Source organism: Homo sapiens, chromosome 8 (assembly GCF_000001405.40).
Source record: "Homo sapiens chromosome 8, GRCh38.p14 Primary Assembly".
In the NCBI taxonomy this organism is placed as follows: Eukaryota; Metazoa; Chordata; class Mammalia; order Primates; family Hominidae; genus Homo; species Homo sapiens.
This window is the reverse complement of record NC_000008.11, coordinates 133,367,533-133,385,722: the sequence shown is the minus strand read 5'-3', so window position 1 is coordinate 133,385,722 and position 18,190 is coordinate 133,367,533. Positions and strand designations below refer to the sequence as shown.

The 18,190-nt window shown below is 49.4% G+C and overlaps 1 long non-coding RNA gene across 2 annotated transcripts in view, besides 1 other annotated feature; it reads left to right on the top strand.

Moving 5' to 3' along the window:
* The first annotated feature begins 8,054 nt into the window (after positions 1-8,054).
* Positions 8,055-18,190, top strand: part of LOC105375771 (uncharacterized) — a 32,914-nt gene continuing 22,778 nt past the window's right edge. Inside the window, exon 1 of one of the 2 annotated variants that reach the window (XR_001746096.2) lies at positions 8,055-8,167. This is a non-coding gene — a long non-coding RNA (uncharacterized LOC105375771). The remainder of the gene's footprint in view (positions 8,168-18,190) is intronic. The other variant, XR_007061117.1, reaches the window with a different exon arrangement.
* Positions 9,974-10,053: an enhancer, noted in NCBI's record as "active region_27994". NCBI's record gives its function as "activates an Ori minimal core promoter by ATAC-STARR-seq in GM12878 lymphoblastoid cells {active_cell/tissue: GM12878}" and the evidence as "EXISTENCE:reporter gene assay evidence [ECO:0000049][PMID:35858748]".

The following is an 18,190-nucleotide window of genomic DNA, read 5'->3' as shown; positions in this document are numbered from 1 at the left end:
ATCAGTTGAAGACCTCCCTTCTCTTTTGATCCCCAGATGCTCTCTGCACTTGGCTGGAGGAGAGATGAGCAATGCTCTGGAAGTGCTGAAGCCCTGGGCTCTTGGAGCTGCCTGCCTGAGGCTGAGCTGTGTGGGAGGAGAAGAAGAACAGCAACAGCCTGGGGAGACAAACACACAAACAAACCTACAAACAAGGGATGTGTTTGTTACTGAAAGAGAAAGGGCCCATTCAGCTCTAGGCCCTAGATGCTCAATGCTTCCTCCAGGCCTGGAGCCCAGGCAGCTGTCACATTTATCTATCCCCAAAGCCACCTGTGACCCCTGGCTGCTGCACGGGAGGTCCCTGGGCCTGCAAGGGTGGGGGTGGTGACCCTTTCCCTCATGGCTCATGGGTTGGCTCCTCAGGCCCTGTCCCATGGCCTGGGTGGGGTCTCCTTCTCCTTCCTCTTCCTCCACTCGGTGGCTCTATTCTTATCCTTCACCTCTGAAGTCCCAGGGACAAACAGTGGGGCCCTCTGGATGAAGAGAGGGCTTGAAATGCTGATGGCTGGAATGGAGAGAATTATTCAAACCATCCTGGGGTGAGAAAGAGGAGAAGGCAAAGTAACATTTTTTGAGCACCTACTATGTGCTTGACACACTGCTGAGCCATTTCATCTAATACTTCCAGCCAAAAGGAGTGGCGGCTCAGAGCTCGAGCAGCTGGCTCTGACTGACAGTGCATTCCCTTTCCAGGAAAAGATCCACCCCATGGGGCTGTGATGTTAAGAAACAGGACAGGGAAGCATAAAGGCTACAGTGAGTGAGGGAGTAGCTGACACACAGTAGTGTTCAATAGATACTGTGCCCCCATCCTGAGTCCCTATGCATTTTGTAGAAGACTTGTTTAATGGAAAGGAAAAAACCATGCTATAACTGATCCATTTATTTTATTCAATAAATATTTACTGAGCACCTACTGTGTGCCAGAAACTGTGTAGGGGCTGAAACACATCAATGGCCAAGATGGAAACTGGGAAAGTGCCCCTGCCCTTGCGCAGTTTACATTCTAGTGGAATGGCCAGGAGAGGGACCCTTCACGTGCACTTGTCCAGCACAGCTGTGTTGAGTGCTGACTATGTGTCGGGCTCTGGTCTCTGCATGGTGTTCTTCAACCTGAGTGTCAGGCTAGGAAGCAGCACTGACTGCCCTGGGCTGTACTGAGCCTCCATGGGGATTTCAGAAAAGGTGCTCTTTCTTCTGACATCTGCCAGAAAAATGTCTCTAATCAGTATGCAAATTGATAATGATAATAACATATAAACACCAACCTCTGGGGTTGTGCAGTGAACAAACTACCCAACTGTCCCCAACAGGGCTGCTCAGAACCACCCAGGAGCCCCTCCAACCCTGCGTGTATGTCCCTCCAGTGTTCTTCCACACACTGCAATAGCTCCATCATGATGCGTACGAATTGTGATGAATGAAAATAAGAGCTTCCATTGGCTGAAGACTCACTAAGTTTCCATAAACCACTAATATTCCAAATTCCCAATTCCATTCAGTCCCCGCATTCCCCTATGAGGTAGCATTTATGGGTTCAGTCACGTGCCCCCAATATTCATATGTTGAAGTCCTAAGCCCTGACCTCGGGATGTGACTGCATTTGGAGATGGGGTCTTTGAAGCTATAATTAAGGTAAAATGAGTTCATTAGGGTGGACCCTTATCCAACGTGGCTGATTTCTCAAAAGAAGAGATTTGAACACAAAAGCGTGCAGAGGGAAGACCAAGTGAGGACACAGGCCAGCTACAAGCTAAGGAAAGTGGCCTCAGAAGAAACCAGCTATGTAGGGACCATCCCTTGATCTTGAACTTCTAGCCTATAGAACTGTGAGAGAATGAATTTCTGTTGTTTAAGCCACCCTGTCTCTGGTACTTTATTGTGGCAGCCCTTGCAAACTAATACAGATAGATTCTATTATTTCCCCCGTTTTTACCAATAAACACACTGAGTCAGTGAGAGGTTATGTACCATGTCCAAGGTCACGAGCTAAGAGGTAGGGACGTGGGGTTGGAACTCAGCTCTGATTCCACACCCATGCACTTAGCCCCACTGCACTGCACAGATTTTTCCTTTTTAATCCCTTTTTGGCCCCTTCAGAGGGGCATGTCTTAACTGGATCTCTGCAGGGTGAGCATGTCAAAAGAGAGGTTGGCACTGAGACTCCACACATCCACAAACCCTTACCCTGGGCCAGCCCTGCAGAGCCCTGGGCCATGGGCTGTCTGCCCAGGCATCTGGGACAAGCTAAAGAAGTTCTCTACTCATTCTGTTTTATTTTCTAAACATTATTGGTCTTTGGAAGTAGTGACCTTTGAAGAAAGAAAGAAAAATTCCAGATATTCCAAAGATAGTGAGTAATCTCTGCAGTCAACCCTAGACCAGGGAAGAGCAAGGATTCTCTGTGAAGAGCCAGACAGCAAACCTCCCAGGCTCTGCTGGCCAGAAGCGTGTGGCAGCCACTCCACTCCACCACCTCAGCTCAAGACCGCCATAGGCAGTGTGCAAATGAATGAACACAGCTGGCTTCCATTATAGCTTTATTTATAGACACTAATATCTGGATTTTATATCATCTTTCCATGTCACAAAATATTCTTCTTTTGATTTTTTTAAACTATTTAAAAATGTAAAAACCATTCTTAGCTTTCGATCCTTACAAGAAAGGGCTTTGGGCTGGATTTGGGTTGGTGTAGATTGTTGTATTCATCATTTCTGAGAAGGAATTTTTAGACTCTCAGAGCTGGGAAGGCCTAATGACCCAATGAGCCCTAGTTTGGTTTACAGATGGAGACGCAGATGCTCAGAGCTCTGGTGACTTCAGGATCATGAGCTCTTGAGGGCCATGGTTCCACCTCCAGTCTCATGGCTCAATCCCTTCTTCCCACCCTGAGAACACAGCCCCACCAGGAGAGTGAGGATGTTTCTTTCCAAAATAAACTCTAAACCCAGGGGCCAACTGGCTCAGCTCCTATCTGACAAATTTCCTGAAGCAGTCCACTACTAAGGCTGAAAGGCAGTACGTTACAGCAGGTAGATGCTCAGAGTGGTGCGAGATGCACAGCGTGTCCTATGTTCAGGTTTGTGGTGATGTCAACACAGTAACTCAGGCTGAACTCACAGCCCACGCTGGGCTCTGCACAAACACCTTCTGGAGCATTATTGCATCATCACCATTAATCCCCCTGATAACCCTACAAGGTGAGTGATGTCTGTTTTACAAATAAGAAGATCGAAGCTCAGAGGTTAAGTCACTTCACCAAAGACACACAGCTAACAAGTGGCAGCCCAGGCCTCAAATCCAGGCCTGACTGGCTTTCTTGCTGGGTGTTCAGGGGTGACAGGACCAGGCCCCCCTCTGCCCTGCTGGCCCCAGGAGCATATTCCTTCATGTCAGACCACCAGGCCTTCTGTTGGGGTTGGTCATGTGGTCACCCTCGCCATGGGGCTGATGCAGGTGGCATGTTCCCGGTGTGTTCACAGGGATATTTCTCAGAGAAGATGAGTCATGCAGAACTCCATCACTGAGACGCCCCTACAGGCAGTAGACTCAGAAGCCAAGATGACATCACCACCATCTTCCCTCTCTCCTGCCCAGACTGTTTAAAACTGATCCTGACAGATAAACAGTCACGTAGGAAATGACACGCATATGGAGATGCCTGTTGTTGTGTTGTGTCTGAAAGCAACAACGTGAAATTAACCCAGATGCTAAAAGAAGGGCTGAGTTTGATGAATGATGGTCTATTCAAACGGCAGGACAATGCACAGCCATTAAAGTGTTCCTAAGGAATATTTGTATTTATTGCCCTGGAGCAACAGTGTATCAAGAGATGAAACTGATTATAAAATCATGTGTCTGGTAGAATGTCATTTAAATGAAAAAAGCATGATATATGTGCATAGAAAGTAACTGGAATTTGACCAGGCATGGTGGCTTACACCTGTAATCCCAGCATTTTGGGAGATAGAGGCAGGCAGATCACCTGAGGTCAGGAGTTCGAGACCAGCCTGGCCAACATGGCAAAACTCTGTTTCTACTGAAAAATTAAAAAATTAGCTGGGTATGGTGTCGGGTGCTTGTAATCCAAGCTACTCCGGAGGCTAAGCAGGAGAATTTCTTGAACCTGAGAGGCCGAGGTTGTAGTGAGCCGAGATTGTGCCACTGTACTCCAACCTGGGCGACAAAGCGAGCCTCTATTCCTCACCCAGCAAAAAAATAACTGGAATTGTATACACCAAAATGTTAACACATTATTTTGAGTGTATTTATTCCTTCATTCACCCAACTAACATTTATTGAGTTAACAGCCCATTTATGTGCCAGGAAGCACACTAAGTGCTAGGAACAGAGTAGTAAATACAACCAGGGGATGGGATGATGACTGATTTTTTTATTAGACTATTTTGTAGAGCAGTTTTAAGTTCACAGCAAAGCTGAGAGGAAGGCACAGAGATTTCCCATATACTCCCTACCCCTAAACATGCATAGCCTCCCCCATTATCAACATCCCCCATCAGAGGGTACATTGTGACAGCTGATGATCTTACAGAGACACATCATCATCACCAAAGACCATCATTTACATTAGGGTTCGCTCTTGGTGTTGCACATTCTATGGATTTTGACAAATGTATAATGACATGAATCTAGCATTAGAGTATCATGCAGAGTTTCACCATCCTAAGCATCCTCTGTGCTCTGCTTATTCCTCCCTCCCTCCGCTCTAGCCCTCGGAAACCACTGATCTTTTTACTGTCACTAGTTTTGCCTTTTTCAGAATGCCATATAGTTGGAGGCATATGATATGTAGCCTTTTCAGATTAATTGCTTTCACCTAGTAATATGCATTTCAGTTTCCTCCATATATTTTCAGGCTTGTTAGCTCATTTCTTTTTAGTGCTGAATGATATTCCACTGTCTAGATGAGCTACATTCTATTTATTCATTCACCCCCTAAAAGACATCTTAGTTGCTTCCAAGTTTTGGCAATTACGTGTGAAGCTGCTACAAACGTCTGCATGCAGGTTTTCGTGTGGACATTCGTTTTCAATCCTTTGGGTAAATACCAAGGAGCACAGTTGCTGGGTAGTGTGGCGTATTAGTTCATTTTCACACTGCTATACATACCTGAGATTGGGTAATTTATTAATAAAAAGAAAAAAGGCTTAATTGGCTCACAGTTCTGCAGGCTGTTCAGAAAGCATAGCGGCTTCTGCTGGGGAGACCTCAGGAAACTTTTACTCAATTTTGCTGGCAAAGGGAGAGCCAGCATTTCACATGGCCAGAGCAAGAGGAAGGGGGGTGCCACACTGTTTTAAACAATCAGTTCTCATGAGAACTCACTATCACGACAACAGCACCAAAGGGGGATGGTGTTAAACCACAAGAAATTGCCTCCATGATCCAGTCACCTCCCACCTGGCCCCAGCATTGGGGATTACATTTCAACATGAGATTTGGGTAGGGACACAGATCCAAACCATATCATATGGTAAAATTATGTCCAGTTTTGTAAGAAACTGCCACACTGTCTTCCAACATAGCTGTACTATTTTACATTCTCACCAACTGATATGGTTTGGCTCTGTGTCCCCATCCAAGTCTCATCTCCAATTGTAATCCCCCCATGTGTCAGGGGAGGGACCAGGAGGTTGGTGATTGGATTATGGGAGCGGTTTACCCCACGCTGTTCTCGTGATGATGAGTGAATTCTCACGAGATCTGATGGTTTTAAAGTGTGGTTCTTCCTCATTCTCCCACACACTCCCTCCTGCTGCCTTGTGAAAAAGGTGCCTGCTTTCCCTTCACTTTCTGCCATGATTGTTAAGTTTTCTGAGGCCTCCTAGCCACACTTCCTGGTAAGCCTGCAGAACTGTGAGTCAATTAAACCTCTTTCCTTTGTAATTACCCGGTCTCAGGTGGTATTCTATTTATTTATTTATTTGAGACAGAGTTTCACTCTGTTGCCCAGGTTAGAGTGCAGTGGCATGATCTCTGCTCACTGCAACCTCCGCCTCCCAGGTTCAAGCAATTCTGCCTCAGCCTCCCAATTAGCTGGGCTTACAGGTGCCTACCATCATGCTCAGCTAAATTTTTGTATTTTTAGTAGAGACGGGGGTTTCACTATGTTGGCCAGGCTGGTCTCAAACTCCTGACCTCAAGTGATCCACCTGCCTTGGCCTCCCAACGTGGTGGGATTACAGGTGTGAGCCACTGCGCCCAGCTTCAGGTGGTATTCTTTATAGTGTGAGAACAGACTAATTCACCAGCAACGAATGAGAGTTCCTTTTGCTCCACACATCCTCTCCAGAATTTGGTGTTGCCAGCCAGTGTTTTGGATTTTGGCCATTCTAATAGTGACATCTCATTAGACTTTAGTTTGCAAGTCTCTGATGACTTATGATGTTGAGCATTTTTTATATGCTTATTTGCCATCTGTGTGTCTCCTTTGGTGAGGTATCTGTTCAGGCCTTTTGCCCGTTAAAAAAAATTGTATTGTTTCTTTATTAAATTTTAAGAGTTCTTTGTATATTTTGGATAACAGTCCTTTATCAGACATGTCTTTCGTAAATATTTTCTCCCAGCCTGTGGCTTGTCTTCTCATTCTTGTGATGACAGGTGATTTTAAATTTCTTCTTCTTGATTATCTCATTTTAATAATTGTTTTGCAATACGTGTGCATCACTTGATTATTGATTTTTAATCTTTTTAAAAAGAATTTAAAAGTTGAGCTCAAAGCAGGAAAGGGAAGCTTTATATGTATGCCATTTAATAATATTTACACTAGCCCTGTGAGGCAAAAATATACCACTCTCATGTGTGTGTGTGTGTATATGTGTGGGCACATGTTCATGCATGCACAGGTGCAGAAAACCAGAGTCTAGAGAGGAAAAGTACCTGGCTCCAGGTCACACAGCTCGGAAGGGCCACCGGTAGATTTGAACGTGGCCCTGTCTGACTCTAGAACTTGTGGTACTTGTTTTACACAGAAGCGCACTCACAGAGGAGATATGGCTCTGCTGGCCCCTCTGTGGCACAAGCTGCCCCTTTTAGGACTCTGTGTCCACCACAATCAGCTTGGCATTGTCTTGCCTCTTGCATCTCATCACTTTCTTCTCAGCTCTAACTCCTAGAAATGATTCCGGATTCTTTGCAGTGACCAGCCCAGCTTCAAATCACTGATGACTGTCTCCAGGGCAAAAGGGGAAGCTCGGTGGGGTATGGGAGAAGCAGACAGGAATGGCCAGCACATAAAATAGGCCAGGAAGCCCCTCCCCTCCTTGCTCAGGGCAGCTCTCCCTGCTATTTCTGCCAACAGCCGGGCTAGCCCGGCCTGCAGCAGGCAAACCTGCTCATCACCTTGCTCATGGCCTTGAGCTGAGCTTAATGTGCCTCACCTGAGACTAGCCAGATACTGTGACTTAGCAGACAATGTTCTCGCCTGAAACCTCTCTAAAGCTCTAGCCCAGGGCTGGTCCCTAGCAGCCCCCGAATGCATGTCACATGCATGACACCCGGTGATTGGCTGGCCTCACAGATGCTTCCTCACCTCCTTCCATGGGTGCCACGTTATCACTGTTGCATCGTTGCTTTCTTGTTGCCACCCTTTCGTTCATTTATTGAACAGAAACGTATGGAGCACCTGCTATATGCCAGGCACAATTCTAGACTCCAAAGGTTCAATGGTGAACAAGAAAGTCCAAAACATTCCTTCTCTCATGGAACTTACTTTCCAATAGAAGAAGATAGACTTTAAGCAAAATAAATTTGTATCTTACATAAAGCTGCATATGAAACCCTGATCAGTGCCACAAAGGAAGAGAAATGGGAAAGAACAGGGCATGAGGTGTGTGGGAGGTTTGCAATTTTAAATAAGTAGTTCCTTTAAATAAGTATTTTTTTGTCCTGTTACCCAATAAAGCTACTTTTAAGCCTTCTTCAAAGTTAATCATACGTCAGCCTTTTACAAGCAGAATCACCTGACGCTTTTTATTTGTTTTCCCTTTAGGTTTTTGTCCCTCTCTTAAAGTGAATGGTCACAGAGCCATGAGCAGGTGGAAGATGCAGGTGGAGGCATCTTCCCTGTCACCGTTGGTATGTCTGGTTGAAACCTGCAACAAGGTATGTTTGGTGTTCTTGGTTGGGTAGGAGGCTGCAGTTGCAGCTTGGAGTTAAACAGGGGGCCTCAGGCCACCAAGGACAGAGCCATGTGGAAACCCTGTGCCCTGGAGCCTCCTGTCTGCAGTCTCTGTGTCCTCCTGCTGGGTCACCGGCCCTGGGCAGCAGCCTGCTGCACCATAGGGGGCTCCACCCACAGACCCCGCCTGTTCCTCACCATGCACCTTTGCCTCCAGCCACATTCTGCATGGGCCTTCTTGTTCCTCCACGTGGCAGTGCGGCTGCCGCCTGGGATTCCGGGCTGTGTCCCTTCCCTATCTGTGCTGGGACAGCATCCTTGCACAGCCTGACTTTGCAGCCAAGTCCTTTAACTAGTCATTCTGTTTTTTCCTTTCTGTGGCCAGTGCTTGGCTATTGAGCAGTCTCCCCCTGCGCCGCCTGTCCTGAACTCACCCCAGCTGTCCCTCCCCAGACCTCAGCAGAGCCCTCTCCTAAAGTCCCATGGTCTGAGCTTAACACCTCCCAGTGGCTTCCCAGTGCTCAGAGACTCAGGCGTCACCCAAGGTGCTCAGCGACAGGAGCATTGCTGACTCCACACGCCCCACACACCACTCAAAGGCCACTCACGTAATAACAAAGGTCGGAGTCCAGCTCCAGAACCTCAAATGCAAACCCCAGCTCTGCTGATTTCTAACCAGGCAGCAGTGGGCAAAGAATTCAGCTTGTCTGTGTCTCCTCATCTTAGAACTTTAACACTGGTGTCCTTTTCCCCTAGGGAAATGGATGGAATCATTGAGGTAATGCAGGCATAGCACTGAGAGGTGGACCTGCCATATAAGCGCTTGCAACTGTGACTAAAGCACAAAGTGGAAAGGGATTTGGCAGACAGTCAGGGTGGCCAGGTTCTCTGGCATTGCCACTTCCTGGCTGTGTGATCTTGGGCAAGTCTCTTGACCTCTCTGAACTTCACATTCTTCTGGAAAGTGGAGATGTGGGTCTTGGTGAGTTTTGAGAATCGAAAGAGCAGATGGAGGCTATAAACTGCTCTGCAAGTGCTAAAGCATGGTGCAAATGATGCTGTATGTCTTGAAATATATCAACTGTAGACAGTATTGATATTTTACATTTAAAATAAAATCAAATGAGATATTCAGTTTCTTTGTCACATGTCAAGTGCCCCATAGCCGCATGTGGCCTGTGACCATCACGTTGAAAGAGCACACCCAGCACCTACTCATTCATTCACCACACATTCCTAGGGCAGGGAGTCTGTCCCAGTGTCAGCCACAGTGCCCTGGGGACACAGAGAGCCACCGTTCTGTCCTAGGACAACATTATGCTGGTCCCTTCCCTCCCCCACCAGTCACCTCCCTTCCCTGTGCCTCAGTCTTCCCTCCCACTCTGTAAAATGCGCAAAAGGGGGTAGAGTTTGTCAATGATCCCACTCAGCATGGCTCATGAAAGAGAAATCACACAGTCTTCAGGGTTAGGCTGAGCTAGGTTTGAATCTCGGTTCCTTGCATAAGTCACAAACTGTCTCTGAGTCTCAGTTTCCCCACTTGGCCTGGCAGGATTGCAGAGAGGATTGCAGGAGGTAGCTTTTGTGGCACCATCAGCACAGCAAACTACCAGTCCTGCGTTTAATGCCTGTAGAGCGAGGTGAGGGTTGAATGGAGGCAGAAGGAACATGTGAGGTCCCCACAAAGAAGAAGAGAGAGATTGGGAGGGAGAGGCAGGGGCGGCTCTGTTGCTGCAGGCTGAGCTGCTGCAGGGGTGCACGTGGCGGGTGGCACGTTCCCTCCCCCCACTGGGCTCTGCATCTGGCAAGAGGTGGGGCACAGCTCGGACAGCTTAGCTCACGTGTTGCTGAGTCACCTCTGGGCCTTGAGGGATTCCTGGGAGGGGCGTGAGGTGCTGCACGTCTCCATGTGGGAGGAAGATGGGAGGTGGCTTCCAGCCTCAGCCCTCCCTTGCCTTCAGCCTTCCCACTGCCCTCCCCTTCTCCAGCCTGGAACAGTGGCCTTGGGATTGTGCCAGGCAGTGACAAGCACCCATGGCCTGGGCAAGCCCCGACGGGGAAAAGACCCTGGTTTCCCAGGTCCCAGCTAAGGGCCCACTTGGGGTTTAGGAGTTGAACCCAGGCCCTGCCCCAGCCCTCCTGGAGCCCAGCTCAGTGGAGGAGACAGGCCTATAATTCTACCCCAAGGTGCATGGATGTGAGGTGCCAGGCCCTGCCACCAGCAACGGTAACCCTGGGTGGGACTCTTTGCTCTCTGAGCCACAGCTTGCAGGTCTGAAAAATGGATACGAACACCTGCTCTGCCCAGTCTCTTCTGGACCTGAGGGCATGTGCTGTGCAGATGGCAGGGCCTCCGTGAAGTCAGAAGCTGAGGCTGGCTCAGAGGAGGCTGACTGCAGCGGGCCAGCCTGGAGCAGGGAGGGCACCTGATTCTCGCTGGGGAGAAGCCTGGCTTTGCCATGCAGAGGATTTGGATGATGGAGGACTTGGGACCTCATTTAATACCCCCGGCTTAGTTTCCTTCTCCCTCTTAAGGCAAAGTGTGTGCTGAAGGTGAGGAGAGGATGGCTGTGAGCAGCAGGGGCTTCCTGGGTGCCCAGGTGGCTTCCCCCTTACATGGCAGGTGCCTGGGTAATCTGTGGAGTCATATGGTTTCTCATCTGGCTACTGCGTGTCTCCTGTCTAGACTGTCAGCTGCCTGAGGGCAGGGCCCTTGAGGCCCCGTTTGCAGCTATACCCCCAATTCCTGAGCCCTCAGGAAATGCTTGTTGAATGAATAAAAGGGAGTGGATAGCAAAAGGCATGCTGAGAGTAGGTACACCCTCACCTCGTTGCCCCAGGAGGTCTTGTGTTTCCATAGGGGCAGTAACAAGGGTTGCTGTGAGACCCCAGCTGGGCACCAGATCCTGAGAAGGTGAGTGAGAGCAGAAGGTGGGTGAGAGCAGAAGGAGAGTGAGAGCGGAAGGTGAGTGAGAGCAGAAGGTGGGTGAGAGCAGAAGGAGAGTGAGAGCGGAAGGTGGGTGAGAGCAGACGGTGAGTGAGAGCAGGTGAGTGAGCGCAGAGGTGAGTGAGGGATCGGAAGTTTCTAGCAGCCTAAAAGCACTGAAAAAAAGAAGAGACTCATGTTTTCTCCCCAGGAGGCCCCAAGGAGTAACTGTGACATCGGGCGGCAGGGGTGGGGGGGGCAGTGCCGGTGAAGGACCCACCCCTGCCTGCAGAGCAGGACACTGGGCCAGCTCAAAGCAGTCAGAGCTGAGGAAGGGCATGGCAGACAGGCTTGGGTCTGGCTACATGACTCTGCCTGTGCTCTGCACCTCACCACGTGGGCCTCAGTTTCCTCCTCTGTCAAATGAGTGAAGATTGAGATGAATGAATATTATTATGGCACAGAGAAGACAGCTAATTGGGTTCAAATGGCAGAGTTTTGCTGCCATGAATTATCCCTTCAATAACTGCTGTTTAATTGAGGAATGACTCACCCAGAGAGAAAAATGCACAGAGTGTGTACATCTTAAGTGGATGTACATCTTAAGAGTGAGAATTTTTTACATATGTATACATCATGAAGCAACCACTGAAGTCAAGACAGAGAACATTCCCCGGCTTCGCAGACTCCTGGTGCCCCTTCCTGGTCAATATCTAGCCCTTCTCTGAGAAGCAACCCCAGCCTTTCTTTCCATGAGCTTGTTTTGCCTGATCTTGAACTTCCTACGAAAGGAACCCCACAATGCCTCTGTATCTTTGTGACTTCTGCCTTCTTTTTCGCCAGCCCATCTCCTACCCCCCCTTTCTTTGGTAAAGGGGCTTTGTTTGCCTTTGGTTCCTGTCCCTCCTTCACACTCAGTCCATCTAGTTTGGGGGACTCTCTCTGTCCCCCAGCCCCACCTCCAGAGATGCACACGTGAGCCAGCCTGGTTCATGAGCTTCCCACAGCTGCTGTAACAAATTGCCACAAAATTAGCAGCTTACAATACCACCAGTGTATTTTTTCTTTCTTTCTTTTTTTTTTTTTTGAAATGAGTCTTGCTCTGTAACCCAGGCTGAAGTGCAGTGGTGCCATCCCGGCTCACTGCAACCTCCGCCTCCCAGGTTCAAGCGATTCTCCTGCCTCAGCCTCCTGAGTAGCTGGGATTACAGGTGCGCCAACACTGTATTTTCTTAGAGCTCCAGACATCAGAAGTTTCAAATGGGTTTGGCTGGATCAAGAGGTGTCAGCAAGGCCAAACTCCCTCTTGGAAGCTCTAGGGGAGAATCATTTCTTTGACCTTCCCAGCTTCTAGAGGCTGCTTGCATTCCTTGGTAAAGCCGTTTCCTCCATCTTCAAACCATGGCTCAAACTATGCTTCCAAGGCCACCTCTTCTCTCTCAACTTCCCCTGATAAGGACTATTGTGATTATACCAGGGCCACCCAGACAAATGGGGAGAACGTCTCCATCTCAGGATCCTTAATTTAAATCTATCTGTAAAGCCTCTTTTGCCATAGAAGGTAACACATTCCCAGGTTTCAGGGATTAGCATGTGGACATAGGAGAAGGGGATGATGGTGCGTATACATTATTTAGCCAACGAGTGCATCTGGCCATGGCGAACATTCCTTTCCCTGGTCATTGTGACTGACTCTAATTGGACCATGACCCAAACCAGTCCAGTGAGAGTTGCCCAGAGGGCTTTTGCTGAAACTCTATAGGAAATGGTAACTGGGTAGGATACAAGCCTGAAGCTGCTGCGAGACCGAAACTTAATCATTGCTTGGGAAGTTTGCCTGACATTGAAGACAACATAAAGGAGAGCAGAGCCATGGCACATGGACATGGATACATGCATGAGCACACGTGTGCACACACAGGCACACACATGCACGCACACACATGCACACACACACGTACACACACACACACACACACACACATGCTATTCTGATGACAATGTCTAAATATCTGAATCCAGCCCTGCCTGAAGCTCGCAGCCCCTTCAGAATTTTGGGCCACATGAGCCAGAGTATTTTCCTTGTGTCTTAAGTCCATTTGAGTTGAGTTTCTGACACTTGGAATAGAAAGACACCTTAGAAACACATACCTATGATTCTGTTTCCCCAAAGACTCTGGAATTCAAAATGGGAACTTCTCAGACTGTGGCACTAGCCACATCATCTCTGATGCTCAGAACTTTCTGCCATGCAGTTTTAGGCTCCCTGGTTTATGGATTTCTCCCCCGTACTCCCCATTGCCAGAGCTCCTTCCTGCTCTACAGGTCACAGGATCACCCAACAAATCCCATCAGTTACACAAGTCCCGGCAAGAGGAACTGCACGTCCTGGGCTGCATTCACACATCTCTGAGCTGTCACCATGCTGCTCACAGGAAAAGAGCTACCATTTTCCTAGCTCCCTCCCACCTTGTACCCCAAACTCTGCTTCCATCATTTCATTTAACCCTGATAAGTTCCCTGTGGCTTGGGAATTACTAGTCCTGTTTCATGGTGGAAGAAATAGAGGCTCAAAAGGTCCTAGTAGCCTGCTCACTGTCACACAGCCAGCTGGTGCCAAAGCCAGCCTCAGAATCTGGGCCCACAGCTAGGCTGCCCATCACAGTGTGGTACCAGACCCTAGGCAGGTGCAGGTTTCCACCAGCAAAGAGCCTACTGGAAACAGCTTCTCCATGGCCGACTTGCATCAGCCACACAAGAGCCTCTCTGTGGGCCTGGAACAGGGGCACCTGGAAACAAGGCCCTGGGAAGCCAGAGCTGAGCTGGAGAAAGACCTGCCCGGGGAGGCACATTTGAACCTCAGTCAACCCTGTTTTCACTGTGCATTTTATATGCATTAAGCTTCCTCCTTCCTTTCTGCTCTTCCTCATTCTTTTCCTCTTTCTCCTCTCTCCCTCTTCCTCCTCTTCCTTTCTCTCTTTTCCTCCTTCCTCCTCCTCCTGCTTCCTCTTCTCTTCCCTCCTCCCTGTCCCCAACTTTCCCAGGCTATGGCAATCCCCTGCCCCTCTCCCTCAGCATGTTCCCCTCCTGCCTATGCCCCCAACCTGTGGTTTGGAAACTGTCAGCCTCAACCTAGTTGTGGCTAGGAAAAGTCTGGCTAATAGACACAAAAATGGTTTTTAAAATATTTTAAAGTGAGGACAGCCCGCTAGGGAGATGAGGCAGAAACCTAAATGACTGTGACCCAGGGCAGAGCGAGATAAGGTCTGAAAGATAACAGATTTGCCTCTCAAGTCAAGGTCTTGGACTTTGGGCAGCTCCACATCAGGGGAATGGAGACATAAACAGGTAATTAATGGTGGTTTTCCAAAAGGCCATAATAGAGCCACGTGCAAGGTCTGCAGGAGCTGAGGGGAAACCTAAAACTCTGCTAGGACCTACAGGAAGCCCTCTCAGGGAGGACCCTGTGAACTGGGGCCTGCAGGAAATGCTGGAGCTTGAACAGCCAGGAAGGACACTCCAGGAGCAGCACCATGGGATGCACGGATATGTCTGGAAATGGCCCAGGCACCATGTCTGTGGAACCGAGAGGCTTGGACTTCATACTTTTTGCTGCTGCATACTTTCCGGGTGGCCCTGGACACACTACCTCTGTGTCTATACAACTGGGGAGGATAATAGCCCCCTCAAAGCTACTGCTGTAATAAGGGCATGGGGGCTGAGTGTGAGGCGTGCGTGCATGCAGGTGAACGTGTGGCCACAAGGGTGTCTACATTTTCAGTGGGACCAGCTGTCTCCCTGCAAAGGAGCAAGTTGCTAATACCAGGGCCTCCTGGCCTGTGGGATGCCAGCAGAGATACCCTATAATGTCAGAACTTTCCAGAGCTCTCAGACCTCTTCATGTCTTAAGGAATGATGACAGTTAGCATTTATTGAGCACTTCCAGTATAGAGGGAACTTTGCATGCCTTATCTCTGACCCTCACAGTAACTCTGAATTCTCACTTTGTAGATGAGGCACAGAGATAAGCTATGTGTCCCAGGTTGCACAGCTGGCGAGAGACAGAGCTGGGAGTGGAAGCCAGCCCCGTCTTTGCCTGGCACCCAGGGGCACTCAGCGAATGCTTGCAGACTGATTGGCAGTGAATAAACAAGGAGGTAGACACCGAATTCGGGCATTAGACCCTGTGAGGTTGGAGACTGGAGGTTGGCTGGTCCCAATTCTCCCTGACCATCTCTATCTTTCCACGGTCGATCCTTGATTACCTTTAGTGATGGGAGACTCAGTCTGGAAACCTACTTCCAGGCCTGGTGGGACCTGAGGGACCTTGAGGGAGGTCCCTTTCCTTTCGCATCTGAGGCACTGTGGTGAAGATCACTCCAGTTATCGGGCCCTGCCCTACTGGAATCTGGGTGTGAGCAAACATGTTATTGTGGGCAGGGTACCTATGGCCGAGGTTATCAAGTCAGCAGCCTGCTTTGGCCCTGGAAAGTGGGTCATGGGAGGAAGGAGAAAGTGCCTTTTGTTTCCTTGCAGGTAGGGTGGAGCAGGGAGGGGAGGGTGCAAAGTGCTGAGAGGCGGGTGCAGGGCGCTCATGTGCAGTGTGAGGGGCAGGCAGAGGGGCCTCCGCTGGGTGCTCAGGTGGCCAAAGGCTTGGGGTTGGGGGATGGTTCAGAGAAAGATGCCCCTGTCTCTGCCTGGCATGGAAACTTCTACAAGCTCCCTGCTATAGGGAGGAGGCCAACTTCCTCGCCTCTCTTCCTCTCCTTCTGCTCCTTCCCGTCTTACTTTCTCACTCTGGCAAAACCGAAATTCTGTGCCTCTTTACCCCCACACCACAGGCATGGGGCTTCCTGTTCCCACTCCAGCTGTTGGGCTGCCTGGGACACGTCCTCTCCCCTTCTGCCCCTGGTTAGTCCTCCTCTGTCTGCCACTTCCTCCAGGAAGGAACCCGGGCCTCCTCTGAGCCTCCCCATCCCCTTGGGCCTCCATCTGTCAGAACTTTGGCTCCCTGCAACTGAACTGAAGTGTGTGTGATGTCTCCCTCCCTGCGGGCTGCATCTCTCTTCCTAGGGGCGGGGCTGGGCTGCCCCAGTTCTCTCTGAATGTCCAGTCCCTAGCCAGTGCTAGGGAACCACTGCCAAAGTAACCCATGGACACAGAGAGCAGGGGGTCTCCATGGCTCCCACTGGGGAAGTGGTCCCTTCACCACAGGGACCAAGACACACGTGTCCAAGAACCGTGGAGTCTCCTTGCAAACTGTGGGAACTGGCCTCAGCTGGCCCATATGGCATGAGAAGAAAACCAGCAGGGGAATCACTGAGTTCAGGGAGCCTGTGCCAGTTTCCTGGGTTTTCCCGGCAGTGCTGTGTTTCTTGTTTAAGGCTAGAGTTTAAGGCCCAACAGCTGTGAAGTGGGAGGAAGTTGAAACCAGCTTGGCAGAGGAGATTCTACATTGCCATGGGGCAGGGGGAAGCCTCATGATGAGGACCCCTTGGACTCAAACCCTGCCCATTTGCCTGTGGTTGCTGGGCAGAATGGGACCCAGGGGACATTGCCGAACATATGGCATCAAGGAAGTTGTACTTTATGCAGCAGTTAATTTATAACTGGTTATGTCGAAGTCTTGTGTAATCAAAATTACCCTTGGGAAGCTTGTAAGGTGCCCATGCCATGCAGCTGGGGGAAACCATGCCATGCAGGGATTGCCCATGTCTGTTCTTATTGCCTCATGACTACCTCTCTGGGCCAGGCTGCCATCTTCCCATGCCTAGGGTACTGCAATCGCCTCATACTTTGAGTCTTCCTGCCTCTTCTCTTTTGTCTATTTCCTGATTGTAGCATGGAAATTCCCATATGCCAGGAATCGTCTCCATCTGGTACAAACTGGGTCAGCTGGTTACTCTACACTACATCTTCTCAGGGTTAAAACCAAGTCCTTTCATAGCCCCTAAGACCCCAAATGCACTGATGCCATCAATGCCCCATGGCCAACCTAGACCCTCTCCAACCTCACCTCCATACCTTTGGCCTCACATCTTCTGCTCCAGCCCCACTGGACTCCCTGCTGGTCCTCAGTTATGCCAAGTATGTTTCTGACTCAGGGCTTTTTGCACCTGCTATTCCCTTTGCCAAGAATTTTGTTATTTTTTGAGATGGAGTCTCACTCTCTTGACCAGGCTGGAGTGCAGTGGTGCAATCTTGGCTCACTGCAACCTCTGCCTGCTGGGTTCAAGCGATTCTCCTGCCTCAGCCTCCCACGTAGTTGGAACTACAGGTGCATACCACCACACCCAGCTAATTTTTTTTTTTGGTTCTTGTATTTTTTTACAAGAGATGGGATTTCGCCATGTTGGCCAGGCTGGTCTTGAAATCCTGACCTCAAGTGATCCACCCACTTTGGCCTCCCAAAGTGCTGGGAATACAGGCATGAGCCACCATGCCCAGCCTGCCTAGAATTCTTTCCTCCCACATATCCATATTGCTATCTCCCTTACTTTTTTCTGGCCTTGCTTTATGTGCACCTTTATCAGTGAGGCCCCCCCCTATATAAAAGAGTGCCCCTCTGTGTGAAGGATAGTTTCCAACAATGGCTGCCTCCAACACCTTCCCTCTTTGTATGTGCATGTCACTCCTTATAGCAAAAGGCAGCAAGATTTTTCCCACTCTTTGACTCTGGGCTGGATTTTGACTCCGCCCACCAGGACATGTGGTGGAAATAACACTGTACCTGCCCGTGTCTCACACTGACAGCTTCCCCTTCCTCCCTCTTGAAATCCAGCTGCCATATGAGAAATCTGCCACTCCTGAGACCACCATGCTGTGAGGAAGCCCTAGCTAGCCTGGTGGAGAAGCCACTTGAAAAGAGATGCCCAAGAACCCCCAACTGTTCTAGCCATCTCAGGTTAGGTGCCAGAAATGTAAGAGGAGATGCCCACTCGGTTGGTGTAGCACCAGCAGGCTCCACATGGAGCAGAAGAACCACTCAGCTGAGCCCAGCCCAGATGACAGAATTTCAAAAAATAATAAATTGGTGTTGTTTTAAATGATTACATTTGGGTTTTGTTATGTGGCAATTGAT